The 23,722-nt window shown below is 34.8% G+C and overlaps 1 protein-coding gene across 24 annotated transcripts in view; it reads left to right on the plus strand.

Annotated features, from left to right (window-relative positions):
* Nucleotides 1-23,722, plus strand: part of PTPN13 (protein tyrosine phosphatase non-receptor type 13) — a 220,847-nt gene that overhangs the window by 102,191 nt on the left and 94,934 nt on the right. For 13 of the 24 annotated variants that reach the window (XM_011532165.3, NM_080685.3, XM_017008511.3 and 10 more), the window contains 3 exons: nt 4,736-5,296; nt 20,025-20,120; nt 20,519-20,612. In XM_011532165.3, coding sequence (XP_011530467.1) covers nt 4,736-5,296; nt 20,025-20,120; nt 20,519-20,612 — 751 coding nt within the window. The remainder of the gene's footprint in view (nt 1-4,735; nt 5,297-20,024; nt 20,121-20,518; nt 20,613-23,722) is intronic. The other 11 variants (XM_017008515.3, XM_047416039.1, XM_047416037.1 and 8 more) reach the window with 1 other exon arrangement.

A 23,722-nucleotide genomic window follows, 5' to 3' on the forward strand; every position in this document is an offset into this window, starting at 1 on the left:
GAAATTTTAATCCAGATTTTAATGCCTTTTATTTGTGATTTTGTTTTTATAATACTAAGAAAGATTTAGTATTATTGTCTAATAGTTCCTTAGAATTCTTATTATTAATATGCTGTTCTAATACAGATAAGGAAGCGTTGACTGTCATGACTTTACAAAATTAACAGAGAAATCAAATCCTTAAGTAGATTGTTTGTTGATTTTATCCTCTAATAGTCATATTGGAGAATAAAATCTCCCTTGTATCTAAACTCAAGAGAATTTGTGAGTAATTACAATTAGTCACTCAGGATTAACCAAATTTTGTTTGTGTTTCTATTTTTTTTAGTAGAGTTAAAGGTCCTAATACTGAAATAATAGTCTTATTTGGATCAAGTATAAGGGGAGAGTATTCTTTAGACCTTCTTAACCATCAGTGCTTTGCACAGTAGTATTGCACAAGTGCTCTTTTCATTTACCTTTTACAAATTCATAAAACCTCATTTTAAGGACAGAACCAATATAAATATACTAATTATAGCCATTACCAGGCAGAAGCATTCAGCAGCTAATAGTCAACTGCATAGACTAATTTTAAAAGTTTAAGATTGAAAAAAAAATTATCTCTTGAAGAAGTAATTCTTCTAAGACACCTAGGACACTTGGCAGTGCCAGTTCTTAACTGTCAGTGGTCAATTGCAGCAAAGCAACCTTGTGATACATTATTAATAAAACATTTTCTTCAGTGTGCACCAACCTAAAATCTGTATGTGGTGATAGCATTAGTTTATTAGGCTCCTGACTACAGGAGTAGTCTTTAATAAAGAAAATGTTAAGATGGACAGGGAGATACAGAATTAGATGGAAAGATGTATGCAAATTTGGGGATAATGCCTTATACCTAGTGATTTAATTGTTCAGCTCAAATGTAATAAAGATTTTTATCTATAAGTAAATGACCTTAAAAGGTCTCTTCTTATATCTTACCTCCAAGATCTGTCACAGAAGCTAAAGCCTAAACTAGTGGGCTCTCTGACCCTACTTTGTTACCTAATACTGCCAGTGCTGATTAAATAGCTTCACTGAGCAGAAAGAAATCAAACATTTCCTGCCAAGCTTAAGGTGGAAACTTACACTATTATTCAGATCAACATGGTGGTGCTTTAGAACTTACGCATATTAGTAATATCATGTTTCTTTCTTTTGAAACGCACTTGGACACATTTGTGAGGATACATGGGGACTTGGGGAGCCTCTTTTAATATTGAAATGCCATTTCGAAGTTTACTTCTAAGAGATGTGAATTTTTGAGTCTGGGTGAATTGAAAGGTAAATGATGATATCCAGTGTAGGATAATGTTAATCACATATAACAAAAATAGTTAAAACACAATGTAATTTACAAGGAAGTTTTTTCTAAAATTTAACTAAAATAAATGGGATGTGTTCTATTACAAAGACTTTTTATATTCTTGAAATCTTACCCAAGGAATACAAATATGAAATCTTTTATTTGTAAATAAAGTATATTTATTGTTTGCCATTTAACTTTTAGCAAGCTATGCATTCTCCAGAAGGAAAATGCTTAGGGCCATTGCAGTGATCTAGTCAAGCAATAATGTTAATTGGAAATAGGGTGATGGCAGTGGAATTAGAATACATGAAATAATAAGATGTCTTTGAGAATTTAAATAGCCATCATTTACTGTTGGATTTGATATGGGGATTAAATAAGGTAAAAGATTTAAGGATGGTGCCCATATTTCTGTTTTGAACAATCAGTTGAGTAATTGGGCCACTTATTGTAATAGGAAAGACTGGGGGAGAATGGACAGTTCTGGATGTACGAAGCAAAAGATCAGTTTTGAGCATGTTGCATTTGAGGGTCTTCTGAAATATAAGTAGAAGTTTCATTACATATGATTGGAACTCCCAGAAGAGGTCGGTGCTAAGCATATCAATTGGGAGTTGTCAAGGTATAGATGATATTACTGCCTTGTTAATGGAAGAAGTTATATAAATACAAAGTGAGTAGATGAAATTCTAAAACTGACACCTAAGGAAATCCAACATTTGGATATCTCATAAAGGAAGAAAAACCAAAGACTAAGAATGAGCAGTCTGACAGGTAGGAGGAAAGCAGGTATGTAAAGAGAGGAAAGATTGAGTAAAGGATGGTCATCATAACCAGCTTTTACTGAGAAGTAAAATATGTATACCAAAATGTCCATCTGATTTGGCAAGCAGAGATCATTGGTCATAACTAATGAGAGTTGCTAATGTATAGAGTAGTTGGAGGCTGATTAAAGTGGGTACAATAATGAATGGGAAGTAAGAAATGGGAGATAGCAGTAGCTAGGGGGAAATGTGGTTAACAGAGGAAGAGTTTGGTTTGGTTTGACTATGGGAGATACTAGCTTATGTTCACATACTAATGGGAATATTCAACAGAAAGGAAGAATATTGAAAATATGAGGAGATAGCAACAGAGAATTAACGAAAGAAGTAAAGTCTTTGATAAAGTAAAATTATGAGGGGGGAATCCAGAATACATATTGGGGATTGGCCTTCAACTGGCAGGAAATTTCATCGTTTAAGATGGCAAAGAAAAGAGTAGACATAGCCTGGCACAGTGGCTCACACCTGTAATCCCAGCACTTTGGGAGGCTGAGGTGGGCAGATCACGAGGTCAGGAGATCAAGACCATCCTGGCTAACATGGTGAAACCCCTTCTCTACTAAAAATACAAAAACAAAATTAGCGTGGTGGTGGGCGCCTGTGGTCCCAACTACTCGGGAGGCTGAGGCGGGAGAATGGCGTGAACCTGGGAGGCGGAGCTTGCAGTGAGCCAAGATGGCGCCACTGCACTCGAGCCTGGGAGACGGAGCGAGACTCTATCCCCCCTCCAAAAAAAAAAAGTAGACATAGGTAGTATAGAATTACTCATGGAAAGATGAGAAAGCTCTCCTCCAACAGCTCCGGTTTTCCTGGAGTTATGACAACACCATCAGCCAAAAGAATAGGGAGTTAAGTTAGAAAATGTGGAGAATGAGGAAAAGTGAAACAGTCATTGTGGAAAGTAAGCACACTGTTAACATGTGGTGTTGCGTGTACAAAGTGATTGACTATGAATTTATGGTGTTGCCAAATACCCACTTGTTTGATGTTTTTCCAAGTTTTAACTGCTTGTTTGGTAGTCAAGGTAGCAGGATAAGGCAGATGGTTAAGTTCATCTATGTGTGGTTTATGATCCTTGAATCCTTTCCATTCTTTTTTTAAATCTATTGTGTTCTATCAATTTTCAAGAATATCTCTGTTCTCTATTCAATAAAATTTTAAATTAATGAGTTCCAAATGTGGTTTGTTTAAGAATATAACATCCCTAAAATACTGTAACACAGACATATGTTTATCAGTTTTCAAATTATCTTAGGTTAGAAGCTGGAGTCTGTGACAATCTGTGTCTGGATGTGGTATGGTATATTTCTTGGTGTTCTTTATCTGATGTGCCCAAAATATAGATGTTATCCTTATTTACACTTGAGTAGATTCATGGGAAGATGAGGCACAATAAAAGCACAATGTTTTAATCTTATCCTTAAGCAATTATTTGCTGCCATTCTGAAATGAATTCCCTTTTTAAAGATTTTTTAAGGTAAAATTTGTGTTCAGGGAATTAAAGCTTATAGTTGTTACACTAAAGAGGCAATTGATGTCTTTAAATAAATTAACAAGCAATTTATTATTATTAAGGTTTTAGTCATTATTTTATATTGTATAGCAGATAGATATCACAGCGATCACAGAAGGTAGCACATGAAATCTTCAGTGTTTATGGGCTATTGAGTTAGTGACTATAAAATATTTACCCGTATTTCTTTTTTCAGTAGTGGCCATATATATGCTTTTTTGTTGAATCTATGGATTCACAAAATTAATTTCTGGATGGACATTTTTGGTGTGTGTCACATTTATAGACTACTGCCTTTTAAAAAAAAGTAAAATGACTACTGATTTTTAACTATATCAAGGACTAAAGAATAAGAGTTGGTACTTTATTACAATTGGCAAATAATGGTAAATTATGTTCTAGAGGAAAAAACTTTTTTAGTGCATGAGGGTCTGCCATGGAAACAGTAAGTTTCTTTCATAACTTAAACACAGTCAAAATTATTTGGATTTCAAACACAAAGTTTTCTGAAAACATGTCTAATTATAATAAAATCTTGATACTTAAGAATTCGAAATGCTACAATCCTATTTCCATCCAGAATATAGCAAGAATTCTTTGTTTCTTCCTTAAATGTATGTATTTAAAAGATCGAAATATACTAGGGCTTTATAGTGATATGACATACATTTGAGTTATACCTTTAGAAGTTAAAGTAGTTCACTATACATTCCATTACTGCCCCAAATCATTTCTTGGATAGTGAATATTCTTCCAAACTGGATAGTTGTCTGCTTTTTTAAAACCAAATAATTCACATTTGATGAATATAAAATAATACCACTCAAAAATGTCAGTTCAGTATATTGCTTTTATTAGATAAGAGACGATGAACTATGAAAAGTTATGCAAACATAGTATCTCTTTCCTCTTCCACTATGACCATCATCACCATCCCATTTCACCTCTGATCTTCCATTTGGAGCATTTAGGAAATTGCCACCACTTTCATTGTCAATAGTGGATTACATTTCCATTTATTTTCTAAAAATTGTGTGCATACATGATAGATTCTTATCATTCCAGGAAGAAGCTCTACTTCTGATGTACTAGACATACAAAAGCCTCCACTCTCTCATCAGACCTTTCTTAACAAAGGGCTTAGTAAATCTATGGGATTTCTGTCCATCAAAGATACACAAGATGAGAATTATTTCAAGGACATTTTATCAGATAATTCTGGACGTGAAGATTCTGAAAATACATTCTCCCCTTACCAGTTCAAAACTAGTGGCCCAGAAAAAAAACCCATCCCTGGCATTGATGTGCTTTCTAAGAAGAAGATCTGGGCTTCATCCATGGACTTGCTTTGTACAGCTGACAGAGACTTCTCTTCAGGAGAGACTGCCACATATCGTCGTTGTCACCCTGAGGCAGTAACAGTGCGGACTTCAACTACTCCTAGAAAAAAGGAGGCAAGATACTCAGATGGAAGTATAGCCTTGGATATCTTTGGCCCTCAGAAAATGGATCCAATATATCACACTCGAGAATTGCCCACCTCCTCAGCAATATCAAGTGCTTTGGACCGAATCCGAGAGAGACAAAAGAAACTTCAGGTTCTGAGGGAAGCCATGAATGTAGAAGGTTAGTAATTCTGTGCATGTTTGAGAAAGAATTGAAGTATTTTAAATATTTTTTTGAAATAAAGAAGGGTTATTAAATTATTCCACAAGTCTTATTTTCACTGCCAAATTTTTGTACCCTGGTTAGTCTCTTACTTCTCTGTCAATTTCTGTTCTCCCTTCCATCAAAACCCTAATTGAAATACTCTGCTTCCACAAAGTCATCCCTAATAAAAATGCCCAGTCACGTTATAGTCTCTCGATATTTGGGATAGTATATTTTTAGATTGTAAGCTTCTCAAAGGCAGGAGGCATATTTTCTACTTCTTTTTGCTTAAATTCTCCACCATACCGTCTACCATGCACTATCTCATGGGAGGCTTCAGTAAATAACTGGTTTGTGGAAATAAAAAGCAGTTCATCAAAATCAGCAATGCCGGAGAAGCAGAATAGCATGGTTATGGTGCATTGCTTCTCAAACCACCAGCTTCAAATTACAAATTTTGGGGGCACAACTGTAGAAGATTATAATTTACTTTGTCTGGAATAAAGTTTTGAATCCATACCTTTTGAATCATAGTACATTTTAGGTTTACAGAGTCAGCCTAGGTTTGAATTAGTTCCTCCATTAGTAACTATGTGGTCTTTACTTGGGCTTCATCTCTCCAAGTCTAAATTACTCCATCTATAAAATGGGCTTCTCAAAGTAGGTTAATTAGGTAATGAATGTAAAGTGATTAATATTACATTATTAGTGTGAGTAATATAAAAATAACTTTATAAATGGTAATTTCTTATTCTAGAGAAAAACTGTTTCAAAAATACTTGATTTCACACACAAAACTCAATATGTTGATTGGAGTAAAATTATGTCCAAGACATATGGATAGAGGCTATTTTCAGTATAAATAGATGTGACATATAGAGGCTATTTTTAGTATGAATAGAAGCAAGAGAAAAGAAGAGATAATTTTTAATCTAATTCTGTACATTTTTTAAGATTCAAGTTTTATACTGCCCTTGCTTCCTAGACAAATCCTAGGACATAGCTGATTAAAGACGACTTTAAGATCTTTCTAGTTCAAAGAAAAGAATGACATAATTAAGGATCATATTTATTTTTAAGATCGTTATTCTAGTGTAATATTTTTTATTAATATATTTCCTTTAAAGTATTCTAAAGATCTGTTGTCCTGTTACTTAAGTTTCAGGCATAGCTCTGGAGCTGAACAACATAATTTATGAGTTTTGCTGTACTTTGAGTAAAAGAAGCTTTGCATTGTTTTTTCAATTTCAGGAATTGAAAATTAGTAAAGAATTTGAAATTATGGAGGAAATTATTGAATAGTTAATTGATATGGGTTCCGATATAACATGAATTTTTCAAAAACATTAGCCAACTTTATGAGATGGTTGTATATAACCTTGATCGAATACTTTCAAAGATAGGAAGTAAAAATTTAGAAATTTATATTATACACAACTTCACAACTTTTGGAATTGTGATAGCAGAGAGATTAGGCACTTTCTATGGTTTAAAAGAAAAGTCTCCTTTTTTATGTTGTACAACAGCTAGTATATGAACATTAATTTAGTCTGACCTTCTGTCAAGCATGCCCTCATGGAAACAATTATATAAAGAAATCTTGTCCATTGTGAAAAAAAAAAAACCTTCAATGATTCAAATAGATAAAACCATTATAGTTTTGAAATAGAAATAATGAAGATATGTACCAATCTATATGAGTATTTAAAAGGCTGAATGGTATCTTTTTTTTATTGTGAATGTTAAAAATGAAATTATAGGCCAGGCATGGTGGGTCACACCTGTAATCCTAGCACTTTTGGAGGTCAAGGTGGGAGAATTGCTTGAAGTCAGAAGTTCAAGACCAGTCTGGGCAATATAGCAAGACCTCATATCTACAAAAAAAATTTTTTAATTATCCAAGTGTGGTGGTGCACACCTGTAGTTCCAGCTACTCAGGAGGCTGAGGTGGGAGGATCACTTGAGCTGAGAAGTTTGAAGCTGCAGTGATCTGTCATCAAGCCACTGCACTCTAGACTGTGCAACAAAGCGAGACTCTGTCTCTAATGATAGTAATAATAAAATTGGCCAGGCGTGGTGGCTCATGCCTGTAATCCTGGCACTATGGCAGGCTGAGACGAGCAGATCACCTGAGGTCGGGAGTTCGAGACCAGCCTCACCAACATGGAGAAACCCCGTCTTTACTGAAAAAAAAATACAAAAATTAGCCAGGCATGGTGGTGCATGCCTGTAATCCCAGCTACTTGGGAGGCTGAGGCTGAGGCAGGAGAATCAAGTGAACCCAGGAGGTGGAGGTTGCAGTGAACCGAGATCGCGCCATTGCACCCCAGCCTAGGCAACAAGAGCGAAACTCCGTCTCAAATAATAATCATTATAATTTCTAATGTTTTTATGTGTGATCTAAGTTTCAAAACATTACTTGTCTTGATATTTGGTAAATTAGTAGTAATGTGAATTAGCAAAGCTTGAGATTTTTTTTTTATACTTGAACCTTGGTTTGAGAGTTAAACAGGAAAAACATCAAACATTAATGGAAACGTATTTAATCTGTTAAATTATACCATAATAGTCTATTTAATATATTTCGTTTGTTTTTCATTACCAATAACAAAATATATTAGACTATTGTAGCATATGATTCTATTATCTTCTCAGTTAATGTGTATGCACATGTGTATAAGTGTTAAGGAAACTCAGACCATCTTATTTCTACATATGCTTTTATATCTGCAAAGATGATACATAATTCTTGTAGAGCCTTATTTGTTCAAAAGGTAATTACGTATTTGATACATCATTTCCAGATTTAGAAATTTCGTATTTGTTATAGGATGCACAAACAAAAGAAAAGCTTTTTAAAAAAAAATCTGCTTTCAATTGTTCGATATAGGACAATCTTGAAATCTTTTTAACTAGGGTTTTCAAAAGCATTTGCTCTCATGAAGAACCTACCCATTATTCCCCCAGAGGATATTTTACAACCCAGTTAAACAAACACCTAAAAATGTTGGATTATTATGGAAATACACTACCTTAAACCTCCATTATTATATAGTAACTTGAAAGCAGCAATAAATTATGTTTGCTTTAGACTACAGGCATTAATCAAAAGGAATGTTAGAAGTTTAGAATTCAAAAGCACTAATTCTTACTAGTTATTTAGTTGAGTAACTTGCTGGTCTTATGCTGTGCTTTTTCTAAAGGTGAGGTAATTTATGTTGCAAACAAGGCTGGGCGCGGTGGCTGATGCCTGTAATCCCAGCACTTTGGGAGGCCAGGGCGGGCAGATCACGAGGTCAGGAGATCAAGACCATCCTGGCTAACACGGTGAAACCCCATCTCTACTAAAAATACAAAAATTAGCCTGGTGTGGTGGTACATGCCTGTAGTCCCAGCTATTCAGGAGGCTGAGGCAGGAGAATCACTTGAACCTATGAGGCAGAGGTTGCAGTGAGCCAAGATCGTGCCATTGCACTGCAGCCTGGGTGACAGAGCAAGACTCCGTCTCAAAAAAAAAAAAAAAGACATGCGCAAACAAACGTGCAGCTTGTTAATATGAAGATTTTAGCTACTATACAAAGAAAAAAGAATAGAAAATCATGTAAATCCCATTTTTCTCATTTAATTCTAGTGAGAGACAGGCTTCACAGATCCCTTTTATGTGTGATAAATCAAGCAGAACTGTAAATATCAATGTATACATTTTATTGTACACATTTCTTTCTTAAACTATTTGTGTTTTAAAAGTTTTAAAAAGAAATGTTTTGTACAATTTTTGTGATCTTTAAATTTGGCAGCTGCTAATGGGTTTCAGTAATTATAGAATTAGAAGAGGTCTTAGAGCACATGTTATCGAAACATATTCTTGGGCTTGTAAAGATTTAATAACATACCTAAGATCACATAATGAGTTAAAGATAGAGTTTTATTATTTTGGAGATTGTAGATTTTCATCATGGATTTTCAGAATATCAGTCTAAGGATTTCCCACTACATGTGACTTAAAAAAAAAAAAGGATGTATTCTCACATTCCTTGAGCTGATATAATAATTGGAAGAAACAAAATTGCTAAATTTTAATTTGTTCTTTGGGTGTTCTAGGAGGGTTATTGAGTTAATAAACAGTTTTCTCCTCCAACCTCTGATAATATAGCTTTTTCCTTAACCCAGGCCCCATTCTCTTGAAAGGATCCTTTACCTAAATAATCTCCTCAGCATTTCCCCAGCTAACAACATCAACTAGCTAACTAGCATAAGGGACACAAGACCTTCAAATCATGGAATTTGGAAGTGGAAGGAATCTGGATACCATTTAAACCAAACATCTCATTTTCAGAGGTCCAGAGAAGTAGACTAGTTTGCCAAAGGAGATACATAATTCATAATTCATAACAGAGCCATATTTTGAATCCCAGTCTCTAGAGCCCAATTATAAGATTCTTCCACTCTGCTGTCCTGATTTAAAGAAGAGACCAGATACATGTCAGATACATGGTTGAAAAGATGTTGTTACTGCCTGGGACATTGGACATTCAACTAACTGCCTTCCAAGTCCCTTAAGTCTCTCCTTAAAAAAATTATATAATTTTTAATACAGTGAAACAAGATAGTATTAGGAAAGGCTAAAATGAGGCACTTTTGGTTTTTTCTGTATTAAACCATAAGGTGCAGGGGTTAAGGTGGAACTCCATTATGTTATCTATTGTGGTAGATAGTATTTTGGTGGGGTTCTACTATGGTCGAATCTTTAAGGCAGCTAATCCTATGACTGACCAGATAGGCCATAAATTATCAAAAAGCAGTGATTGGCATTGAGTGGTCTGATTTCTTTGGGAACAAAATGAGATAGGAACAAAAAAGATCTCAAGAAAGAAATTGTAGTTGAAATTGAAAAATTATAAATAGAAGATTATTACTGCGATTATTAAGTTAACTTTTCAGATAGTTCTCTACATACGTAAAGCAGTAGGGAAGGGGCAGGAAGAAACATAACTTAGGTTTCTCTTGTAGAAACTAGTTTTAAAATTTGATGTTGCCCTTTTTTGCTTCATTCTTTTAATTCTACTTTTTTTTCACCTCAGCACAGGACTATCTAATTCTCCTCTTTTTTCTCAGTATTTTATTTTCTACCTCTTCAACTCCATCCCAAGATCTGAGTAGTTGTCTGTTTTCTAATAGGAGTATCTGACAAATGTCTCTTTCTGTCTTTCTTGTAATGTGATTACCATACACGCCCTATCCATTGCTCTGTGGGTTGGCAGTAGATTCCTGATTATGAGAGATTGACTTGGAACCAGTACTGTGAGTACAGAGTGAGCAGTACTCCCACACCCTGGGTGGGGATCATTAATAGCATTTGGCTTCCAACAGTTGCAACTCCTCTGCATTCTGCACAATACTAGAAAGGAAAGTATGAAGAACAGATACAACTAATTTCTACAAAAGTGGCTATAGTTAAGTGTTATTTGTTTAATGGGCTGTTAATCAACCTAGTTCACATCAAAATGAAATATTGTTTTCTTCCTTCTAGTAGTGTGATCTCTGGTCCTAGCCTAGTTTTGCTATCCTGTGACTGCCCTGTGAACACAGCTTAGACTCTATGTTGTGCAACTAGAATATGTAAACACTCAAGTATGGGAACCCATTCTCATTTGAGGAACCTTAATGTTTCATTTGAGAAGATTGAATTTAAAAGTTTACATTCTTACAGTTACGCTTAAGAAAAGCAAAGGGATGAATTTATAAGTGTGTGAGTTCATGTTCAAGTATTATGTGTGGTACTTTTAGTATCTTAATAATTTTATGGAGATATATATATTTTTTCAAAACATCTTTTTTAAATTCTAAAACTAGTATTTCTTTACTTCCCTTTGAATAGCAAGAAAAAAATGATTGAGTTATTATTTAAGTTACTCCGTGAGCTAAAATAAATAATTTTAATATTAAATTTCTATTTGATTTATATCAGTTCCACAAAAGTAAATGAGAATAAGCAGGGATTTTCTGTAATATTGGTCAAATACCACATGTATTTCAGGCATTAATGACTTAATTACTAGATTAAGAAATCTTAAGTATTAGATTATAAATGAGATGCAAATATATTTTGTTTCTCTGAATTATAATGTAGATAGAATCAACATCTTAGAAAGGAAAGAAGTGTCTACTGTGTTTCCATGGCTGGATTTTAAAGAGATTTGTAATTTAGACCAGTATTGTCCAACAGAATTTCTTCAATGGAGGAAATAGTCTATATCTGCACAGTCCAACTCAGTAGCTACTAGCTACATGTGACTATGGAGCACTTGCAATGTAGGTAGTGCAACTGAGGAACTGAATATTTTATTTAAACTTACATAGTTACATGTGGCTAGTAGTCACCATATTGGACAGTGCAGCTTTAGACTATTCCCATATGATATTAGGTCAGTATAAAATACCAACACTCAGTTGAGGAAAGAGTGGCTTTAGAACCATTTGGGAGATGGTGAGCAATAAATCGTTATTTAGTTTAAGTAAGAATACAACTGAGAATGTATATTTACTTCTCTTCTTTCGGTTTATCCAAGTGGAAAAATAAAATTACATTTTTAAATACTAGGGAAAATTAAAGGTCAAACCAATACAGACTTTCCAGTGTCTGTACTCATGATAACGTGAGATCAGAGTTCACAGAAATAATATGTTCCTTTATTGGAAATGAGAGACCTAATTTAAATCTACTCATAGCATGGTTCACATAGACCCAGTTTGGCTTTGACATAGCCACTCTCTAAGGACGGATTGATATGTCTTAAGAAAGATCGAAAATGGATCTTACTAACAATAGGTATCATCACATTTTTTAAGACCCAGCAATTTTAAACTTAAGTGTTTCCTTATTTCATCCCAGTCCCCTTGTCTCTCCATTTGTCTCTCTGCCGTGCAAGTTTGAATACCTTTATTCTCTGCTATCAGCCATTTACCAATGTTCCATCACCTGAACAGGATAAAATTCTAGCTCCTTGGATCATCATACTTAAGGTTCCCCATGATTATATCTCTCCTCTCATCTTTTAGCATTTCCCATATCACACCTCATACTATCATTCTCTCCCTTTCTCCCTGTCTCCCTCCCTCCCTTTTTCTTTCTCTCCTCCCCACTCCCTTCTTTCTTACTCTCTTACACACTTTTCCTCCCTCCTTGCCTCCCCAGCTCTGAATTTGTGTGTATGTAGAGAAAAAGAAATACATACACACACACATACACACACACACACACAAACACACACTTGTGTGGATGGATGCGTGGATAGATAGATGATTGATTGATAGATCTACCTGCCTACTTACCTATCTACCTATTTATAGGCCATTTTATATTTCCTTGCCTTTATTCACACAGCAATCTGCCTTAAGATTCAAAGCTTTCGGACACTGATGTTTCAGGAATCTTTCTCTCACCTCCCCAGTTTAGGATGATGATGGGCTGTTTTTCATTGAAATTATTGCTTTTCAGGAGCTTGTCTTTCCTCGTACAGACCTCAAAAATTTGGCCTTATCTAATTCATAGCTGTATCCTTAGCATCTGCCACTATACCTGACATATAATAGGTACTCAGTAAGTGTTTGTTAATATAAATGGAGTATTACAATGTGGCTATTAAAGAATTTTAATATATGCAGTGGTGCTATTTCAGATAATGGGTTACAACAATATTCTCTGGCAAGTTATAGTGAGGACAAATCACACCTCCTCTTCCTCCGTTTTGTCCAACTCATAAGAGTAAACTCACATACTTTTCACATATAACCTGAACAACCAACAGAGAATGTAATTCATTTCCTATTGAACTCTGTACTCTTTGAAAGTTTTGAAAAAGACAGTGAAGTCGTAACAACAGTGAATCCTTGAAGATTCTGAAAGAGTGATACAGTGAGCCTAGCCGATGTCACAGCCCAGCTATGTGGCTACTATATCACACAAGACCCCCATAGAAGGAGGTGGAAACTGTTCATTCTTTTTGATATCCCTACTCTGCATATATTTTAGATCTATAGAGTGACTAACAGTTTGTTTACAGAGCACTTCTTCATATATCCTTCTTTACTTACATACATTCACTCTTGTATGAGCTTTGTTCACCCAGGTTAAAAATTTTATTCATTATGTCTAGCTCTCAAGGGATTTTAGAACATATTCTATTGATTGCAATGTGGTGTAATATGGAATACAGTAGACTAATAAACACAAAAGGTACAGTCGCTAATCTCCCAAAATTATTCTCCCATAAAGGAAGCATAGAAAAGAACACTTAATATATGAATACATAATATTATTACTGTGTTTCTCTGCTTTGTTTGAAAATTGAAATATTTTGTTAGGACCCATATCTTTAAAAATGTGAGATTTTAAAAATGTTTTATACTTCTGCACTACAAAAGCAGTCATTTTATTTCTCTTCGAAACTTGTGTCTGTAATTTGGGTCATGTATTAAAGGTAAAGAAATGTCAAGGTAAAAGTGGTTATTTAATTCTTGTTGCAATTGGCTGAGTCTCACTTTCTGCATATTACTTGTCTGAGCTTGAATATGTGTCACTTGTAAATGGTGTTTCTAGATTACAATTTGTGTTGGCTTAGATTCATCTTAATGTGAAAATTGTAGACTTTAATGTTTCATTTGAAATAGCTTTATATAAGGCCAGAATATTATGCAAATCTTCATAATCCAAGTCTGATCTCCTAAACATTTAAAGTATAGTGTACATGGTCACATGCCACAACTTTATATGGTAAAAGTGCTAATTGTGTTAAGTGGTGGTAGAAATTGAGACTTTCAGTTGTCAAGAACTTATGGCAAAACACACTTGCCTATTGAAAAATGGCTTTTCATTGTTGCTGTATAAATGGCATCAATATAATAGAGTCACTGTGAATTTTGTTCAGAGGATAAGATTACAGATAAAAGCTAATAAAATATTTGTTAAGTTTTTATACCTCATTCTGACAAAAAATAGTATACTCTTAATTATGGTAAAATAGTACTAGAGATGAAAGGACATCTTCTAATGATTATAGAATCTGTATAACTAGACTTCTGTCCAAATCTTAATTCTTTGTTTTTTGGTTTTTTTTTGAGAGAGGGTCTCGCTCTGTCTCCTAGGCTAGGTGCAGTGGCATCGTCTTAGCTTACTGCAACCTCTGCCTCCTGGGCTCAAGCAATTCTCTCGCCTCAGCCTCTCAAGTATCTAGGACTACAAGCATGTGCCACCACACCTGGTTAATTATTGCCTTTTTTTTTTTTTTTTTTTGGAGAGATGGGGTTTCACCATGTTGCTTTGAGTCTTAAGGCAGATTGCTGTCTGAATAAAGGCAAGGAAATATAAAATGGCCTATAAATAGGTAGGTAGGTAAGCAGGCTGGTCTCAAACTCCTGGGCTCGATCAATCCACCTGCCTCAGCCTCCCAAAGTGCTGGGATTACAGACGTAACCCAACATGATGGCCCAAATCTTAATTCTTTAAGCCATTCTTCATTAGTCCTTATTGTTTTCATTCTTTCATGACTATTCTACAAAATGGTTTTGGAGAGAATATATTGATATAAGTTTTATGTGTTTATGTACATTTATTTACACACACCCTATATGGTACTTCTTTTTTGGTGACATCACATTTGGTGATGTACTAAGGCTGATTTTACTCTCCCATTCGCTCTTTTCTTCTCATTAATATTTCTAACACTGTGATTTTTTGCTGAAACTTCATTTTCTGTAACTGAAAACTAAAGTACTCATAGGAAGTCAAAAAGAAGGAAATTGTCTAGTAAAATAAGGAATAATTATGATTCTAAATGGACCCTAGTACACTAATTTTTACATTGTAGGCTTCACTTAGATATTTACTAGCTGAGAAAAGAAATTTGCAAACCAACAAATTAGATATTGAGAACTAATTTTCAGCCCCACAAAAGGCAAATAAATTCAGTCTGACACCTGTAATGGTGAAAGCTTAAAATTTTACCATTACAGTTATAACATTGCAATGAAGGTGGCTACACATGCATTTAATGTGTATTGGTTATCCTAATAGGTCCATTGCACATGATTCAAGAATTTTGGCATTCAGAAAACTTTGTAATATTCTGTAAGTATGTAGAAGCATCTTTTTGGTTTAAAAAAATAGTCTGATACATTCTAGTTAAAATACCAGCCAGGTTTTGTTGGTACTGGGAAATGGGTACATGAAGATTCATTATACTCTTTATTTTTGTGTCTGTTTGAAGTTTCCATAATAAACAGTTTTTTGAAAATCACCCGATTAATACCACATTCCTGGGATCTGTATCAAATCTAAAGTGCTGGAATTATACACTCAAAAATAGAAAACATGTTTGTGTGTCTGAATCCTCTAAAAAGAAAAATAGTTAGTAATGTTAGCATACCTCATTGACAATTAGATATTACCTCTCTTCAACAGACCAGAACAGAGGAAGAAAACCACTTCTATCTGGTTAGTGCCTACTAGATACCTTTATGTGCAGGTCATCTCAGAGAACCAAGAAATGTTTCTGCTCAGATGACTTGTAAACATGGAAAATGTGCCTCTCCATATATACCACTGCAAGATTCTCTTGGTAAAGAACATGTAATTTTATAACAACACCTGAAAACGTTAAATTTATTATTCATAAATTTTCCAAGACACACTTCAGAACACAAGAAGCTCACAAAAAAGATTCTTACTACTTCAGTTAACATAGATACACCCACCCCTACCCCAGTATTTGAAGAAAAAGAAAAAAGTCTTTCTACCCCTGGTAGGCAAAGCAAGTTATCCCATTTGTGTTTTGGAGTACCAGTGCTCTATTACTATAAAGCAGTAAAGTATCATAAGGTAATAACCTCCTCCCCGAAGGTGTATTACTGAAAACATTTACAGACCAATAGTTCATGAAGAGAAAATGATTTATTATGTTTTTAAGAGTGGTTAGTCAAAGTTGCATTTGTTTGTTTTACAGAAGGAACCCAGAGATTGAAAAAAGTTTATTAGTAGTGTCAGAATGAACTGAAGAAAAAAGAAAATAAAACATAGGGTAGTAGTAAGGGTGAGGAAATATGGATATGTGAAACAATATAAGAACAATTATAAAGTACCACCAAAGAATGGAAATTCAGATTAAAATTTATTTATGATCTTACAGCCACTTTGCAAAAATAGCTGTGAAACAGTAAATTCATTTATTACTTAATATGGGGTGTGAAATTGTAACAAGGCATAACATCCAAGTGACTAAAAGTTCTTTACTCATTTTATTGAACAGGTTTATTGTGACTTCTACTTTTCTCTGTAAGGTATTAAAACCATACTGCCTGTTTAGATTTGGTTCTTATCCATGGCCTTATTGGTCTTATTGTCCTGTATGTTGCAATTCCGGGTTTGCAATTTGGTTAAGTTTTTTTGGAAAAGTCCCTTAAAAATTTAGCATGAGGATTCTGTAACAATAAAACAAATGTACTTTGGTGTTCCTTGAAAATGGCAGTTCCTCTTAAGTAAAAATATAACTTGCATATAATGTACTGTATTCATTCAATTTAAATTAGTATTAAATAAAATTATTGTTTTCCATCTCTACAGTCCATTCAAATTACATTCATAATGAGCCAGAGGATTATTTTAAATTGTTTATTTTATCATAAGACTTTCCTGTGGTAGGATGCAATCATTTAGAAAAAAAAAAGTACTGGTAAATACCTTGATTTTTCAATTCTAAAACTCAATGGTAGTATTATTGATATTTCTGTTCACCATACACAAAGCCAGACAAAGTCAAGTATGCAATATTATTCCTAGTTCTCCAAGTAAACATTATCCTAGAAACAGTGCAGAACTTTCTGTCCATGGAGTCTGTGGCCAGTCATCTATACTTCTTCTCGCATTTATTTAAAGCTTTGTCTCAATGTGACTCTTATCCTTTCTTGGGGCGTGAACTCTCAATTTCCAGTTCATCATCCCTATTCTGGTTCCACAAACCTGGTTTCTATGGTACCATTTAACTATTTCACTTATTATTCTTTTTCTGTTAAGAATCTCTATTAAACACCTTCCAACATAAGGAATAATTCATCATGTGAATGAAGACTGTCCTCAGGTTTGCAGACTAGCAAAAAAGAATTCCTCACCCACCTTGATTCTCTACTGCCGTGCACTTCGTGTCACTCCCCAGTTTTAGATACTTCCCAGGGTCTCCTTTCTTCAGTGTCAAAAAAAAAAAAAAAAGACACAAGAAAATTCTAATTGGTTCCACTAAAATTTAGGTATTCTAGCCTACCCTACATCTTCATGGCTACATGAAAGCTTTCATGTACTTTTTGCTGACTTTTATCAACATTGTTCATGTCAGAATTTCTTTAATCTTCTCAAGCCTTAGCCAAACAGGCTCCCAAGAGGTGATTGACTTTTTATTTCCAGGCAACATTATGATATGAATATCTTGGGATTGCCTCTGTATTTTCACCTTTTCCCTTGTCTGTTAGTTACCTCTTTTAAGAAGGTACGATTTTTCCTCCTTGCCAGTCTACTCGTCCCACATGTGTTCTTTTTTCCATCTCCTGTTTCCTTCAAAACATTTTTTTTAATCAGTTTTTCCCACTACCATTTGCAACTTCAGTCTCTCCCACTCAACGGGCTTATTATCCACCACCTGAAATCAAGCACAGACATTCTTCTGTGGGGGGGAAAATCTATTTTTTTAACCTCTTTTTGCTTCCCAAATCCTCAAAATTCTTGAAAGAATACTGGATACTCATTCTCTCAAATTCTTACCATCTAGTCCTTCTTTAACCCTCTCTGATTTGGCCTCTGACCTGTTCATGCAATGAAAATAGTTGTCTTAAAGGTCACCAATGACCTTTATATACCACTTATATACATTTATTCACTCAGAAAATATTCATTTTGTGCTTGCTATGTACCAGGTACTTGCTAGACTAGGTACTAGAAGTACATCTAAAAAAGACAACATTCTTTTTCTCAGAGAACTTATAATTTAGTTGAGGAAACAAACAAGTAGAGAACTACAAAGTAGTGTAAGAGTTGCAATTAAGCATGAGGCAACGTGAAAGTAAGAGGAGCAATGTCTAACTCAGCCTTTATGTGGTCATAGAAGCTTTTAGATAGAGGCTTCCTTTAAAGGTTAAGGAAAAAAAAGATATTCAGGTAAAGAAGAAGGGGAAGAGCGGTGTTTCTAACAGAAGGTATCCTTCAGAAAGGAAGCTAAAAGTTAATATGCTTTTGATTATCTGCAAATTTAGTAACACAGGTACAGAATTCGTTTAGGGAAGTGGATGGAGATAAGGCTTTTACCTGAATTGAGTTTTTAAATTTATATTTAAATTGTTGTGTTTGTGTGTATGTGTGTGTGTATATACGTGTGTGTGTATATATGTGTATATATAGGAGATGGAAAAAATATATGTGTGAGTATGTGTTCCCACTCCTCAAAACTTTGATTATATATATGTATGTGTGTCTTTTATATATTGTGTGTATGTGTACATATATATACTTTTTGCCCAATTCTCACAAATGAATCTGTGACTTCAAAATATAAAGAGACACTGCTATAAATGTAGTTGGGAGCCAGGCGTGGTGGCACATGCTTCTAGTCCCAGCTACTTGGGAGGCTGAGACGAGAAGATAGCTTGAACCCAGGAGTCCAGCACTGCGGTAAGCTATGACTGCACCACTGCACTCCAGCCTAGGCAACAGAATGAGACCCTGTCTCTAAAAAATAAAATAAATCTAGTTGAGGACCAGCTTATAAAAGGCTTTGAATACCAAGCTAAGAAGTTTTTTTAAACTGTATGTTGAAGACTCTAGTTTCAAGGATTTTAAGAAATATAATAGCTCAGATTTTCATTTCTGGGAAGTTAACTTTCTATAATGTGAATTATGTAAAGGAGCAAAACTGCAGAAAGGGGATTTAGGAGACAGGTAGTAGTTCAGGAGTGACATGAATAGTGCTCAGTGATAGAAACAATGCAGCTGAAGAAGAGGGGATGGTTCAGAAATACTTAGAAGGTAGGATTTAGATTCTAGTCCACACTTGCCCCTGGGCTCGGCCCTCTTGTACAGTGCACACTCTGCACAAACCTACACAGTACCCCCTTCCAAATGCTTATCTTATTCTGGTGGAACTAAGCATTCTGTGTCAATATTGGGGTACTTGTCTTCCACATTTCAAATTCTTTGAGATTGTTGTGTCTTTAGATTGTCTATTCCTTATAGAATCTAACAGAGAATTACACATAGTAAACATTGAAAAACTGTGATAATGATGCTTACATAGTGTGTGCTCTGAAAGCTTCGTGTATGTTAATTCATTTAATTCTCACAACCTTATGCGATGTGCACTATTATTATACCCCCTCTTTGGCTGAATTAAAAGAAGAGTCATGGGGAGATTAAATTACTTTCCTAAGGTCACACACTAGAAAGTGGTGGAACTGATTCAAACTGAGGCAGTCTGGCTCCAGAGTCCGTGCTCATAACCAGTATACTAAACCCATTATTGGAACGCATTATTTGAATACACTCCAGCAATTGGTAAATTTAAAGCAATGTATAAAATGTTTTAGTCCCACAGGATTAAAATTAATATTTTGATTTATGTGGAATAGCTAATGAGTTTGCTTTCTAATCTTTTTGTTTTAATCCTTTTAGAACCAGTTCGAAGATACAAAACTTATCATGGTGATGTCTTTAGTACCTCCAGTGAAAGTCCATCTATTATTTCCTCTGAATCAGATTTCAGACAAGGTAGGAGGCATCTGAAACAAGCAAACTGTTTTTAAGAAACCACGATTATTATTATTTTCAATAGTGTTCAAATATTAATATAAATTGCCAGAAAGAATAATACTGTATAAAATTGAAAAATTTAAAAAAGCTGCTGGTTACTCAGTAGTAGTATTATAGAAACTAAATAGCAGTTTCTTCAAATAACGATGTAGTCCTTTTCATTACAGAGATAATAATTCATTGTCTTTAAAAGTAACATGATTTACCTCAAAAGAGTTTAATAACATTATGTCATTAATTTTGTTCTGTGGATTAGATTTGTACAACTCTATGTCTGCTAAGTGTTTGAGTTTTAAATGAAATTACTCTCATGTTTCTATCACCTGTGCCATTATTTCTTTTTCATTCATAATTAGTGAGAAGAAGTGAAGCCTCAAAGAGGTTTGAATCCAGCAGTGGTCTCCCAGGGGTAGATGAAACCTTAAGTCAAGGCCAGTCACAGAGACCGAGGTATGTCATGAAAAAGTAGTGATGATACATTTCCAGTGACCAGTGTTTGTTTTTTATTTGAATTAAATGGAATTTTTTTTTTTTTTTTTGAGACGGAGTCTTGCTCTGTTGCCTAAGCTGGAGTGCAGTGGCGCAATCTCGGCTCACTGCAACCTCCTTCTCCCAGGTTCACGCAATTCTTTTGCCTCAGTCTCCCGAGTAGCTGGGATTACAGGTATGCACCAATGTGCCTGGCTAATTTTTGAATTTTTAGTAGAGATGGGGTTTCACCATATTGGCCAGGCTGGTCTCGAACTCCTGACCTCAAGTGATCCACCCGCCTCAGCCTCCCAAAGTCCTGGGATTACAGGTGTGAATCAAGTAGAATTTGTTTTTTTACTATCCTTTTTCCTTTATTTTTTGCATTTTCCTTTTCTCTTCCTTTCCCCTAGCTCTCTTTGTTTTTATAAAAGTTCTCAGAAATTCATCAATTATATGAAAGACAAAGTATTGGAATCTTTTAAAATCATGATTGGCTCTAATTATTTATAGTTGTGCTTGATTTTTAAAATTATCAATATGAATATAAAATAACAGGAAGGTCAAGGCATGGGATTAAAAATCTGTGAGAAGATAGGAAACCTTGATTTCTAAGATACCTTTCTTGAAAGGTTGGAATAGTCTCAGCCAGCAAGCTTTCAGTGAGTATTTATTTGTTGAATGAATAGTGAGTAGGTTACTACTAAGTAACCTATTATGTAAAAGGTTAATTATTCACTGTATCTTTCCTGGCTTAAAAGAGGTTATGTGGTACTTTTTTTTAAAGCCTGATTTAGGCTATTTAGAGTTCATTTTTATACTGACATACTTAGTGAATTTCTTATAAGGTGTTAGTATTATGTTTGTGCTCAGCTTAGGATGGTGGTATTATAGCTGTGTGTTGATTTATGTTGTTTAAACTGAAAGGTGTCAAGTCAATAGTGATGTGTGTCTTTGTCGTGTATGCCCAGGTCCCTTACATGAACAAAAGATGTAGTTAATGCTAAGCATTAATTTCAAATTTGTAATATATTAGAGAACAAGAGGTTGCTTGAGAATTTACTTCTAAAATGTGGGAATCCTTTCTAATTCTGTATTTCAGTTTGTTTAATTCAGATGCTACCAAATAGAAAAGAATCATTTAGAAATAAACAGAAACTTGCCCCTTAGCTAATTAATTCTGCCAGACACTGTTTCACACCTGTAAACTATTAATAGATCAGGTAACCCTAGCCATGTGATTAAAACAGACTATTCACAGTTTAGAGTGTACGTAATTAAATACTTTACACTAAAATTATTCTTTAGTTAATGGTCCACTTTTTTTTTTTTTGAGACAGAGTCTCGCTTTGCTGCCCAGACTGTAATGCAGTGGCGCTATCTCAGCTCACTGCAACCTCTGTCTCCCAGGTTCAAGCAGTTCTCCTGCCTCAGCCTCCCGAGTAGCTGGGATTGCAGGCACCTGCCACCATGCCCGGCTAAGTTTTGTATATTCAGTAGAGGTGGGGTTTCACCATTTTGGCCAGGCTGGTCTTGAACTCCTGACGTCAAGTTATCCACCCACCTCAGCCTCCCAAAGTGCTGGGATTACAGGTGGGAGCCACTGCACCTGGCCTAAAGGTCCACTTTTAATTAAAGTTGTTTCTTTTGTTTTTTGTACTTTTTAAAATAGTCTATAATTTTTTTCTTTGAGGAAAACTCCAGTAAGTATTCATTTACCTAAAGCAATCTATATTTGCATAATAGCATTTTATATTACTGTGTCCTTGTGATGACCCCATTTTGATACTTTTGAACAAAGAGGTAGGAGACAAAGATCTATGCTTTACGTTACAGTTTTCTTTTTATTTTTTAACATTTATTTTCGGTTTGGGGGTACATGTGAAGGTTTGTTATATAAACACGTGACAGGGGTTTGTATACATACTATTTTGTCAAGCAGGTATTAAGCCCAGTACACAACAGTTATCTTTTTTGTTCCTCTCCTTCCTCCCACTCTCCCCACTCAAGTAGACCCCAGTATCAGTTGTTTCCTTCTTTGTGTTCAGAAGTTCTTATCATTTAGCTCCCACTTACAAGTGAGAACATGTGGTATTTGGTTTTCTGTTCCTGCATTAGTTTGCTAAGGATAATAGCCTCCACCTCTATCCATGTTCCCACAAAAGACATGATCTCATTCTTTTTTATGGCTGTATAGTATTCCATTGTGTATATGTACCACATTTTCTTTATACAATCTGTCATTCTGAACATTTAGGTTGATTCCATTCTTTGCTATTGTAAATAGTGCTGCCGTGAACATTCGTGTGTATGTGTCTTTACGGTAGAGTGATTTATATTCCTATGGGTATATACCCAGTAATGGGATTGCTGGGTCTAATGGTAGTTCTGCTTTTAGCTCTTTGAGGAATCTCCATATCGTTTTCCACAATGATTGAACTAATTTGCTCTCCCAACAGTGTGTAAGTGTTCCCTTTTCTCTGCAACCTCGTCAGCATCTGTAATTTTTTTACTTTTTAATAATAGCCATTCTGACTGTTGTGAGATGGTATCTCATTGTGGTTCTGATTTGCATTTCTGTAATGATCAGTGATATGAAGCTTTTTTCAATGCTTGTAGGCTGCATGTATATCTTCTTTTAAGGGTGTCTTTCATGTGCTTTGCCCACTTTTTAATAGAGTTGTTTGTTTTTCTTTTGTAAATTTAAGTTCCCTGTAGATGCTGGGTATTAGACCTTTGTCAGATGCATAGTTTGCAAATATTTTATCCCATTTTGTAGGTTGTCTGTTTACTCTGTTTTTCTAATGAAGCAAAAGCATGTGGGGATGAACAACAAAAGTAAGCCAATATTGAATTGCACTAAGCTCAGTGTTGAATTGAGGGAGAATGTGTTTTAGAAGTGACTTTTCTCTATGCATCTAATTTGGAACCTATGAGTAGTTACTATTATGCCCACTTTAGCCAATTGAAAACTCTTGCTTTTAATATAAACAACTGAAATAGAGATAACACCTGAAGAAGCACTGGGATATGTGTTAACAATTGATTTACAGCCCATTTGGTTTGGATTTTTAAATTTTAAAACATATTCA

This window comes from Homo sapiens, chromosome 4, assembly GCF_000001405.40.
Source record: "Homo sapiens chromosome 4, GRCh38.p14 Primary Assembly".
Classification (NCBI taxonomy): Eukaryota; Metazoa; Chordata; class Mammalia; order Primates; family Hominidae; genus Homo; species Homo sapiens.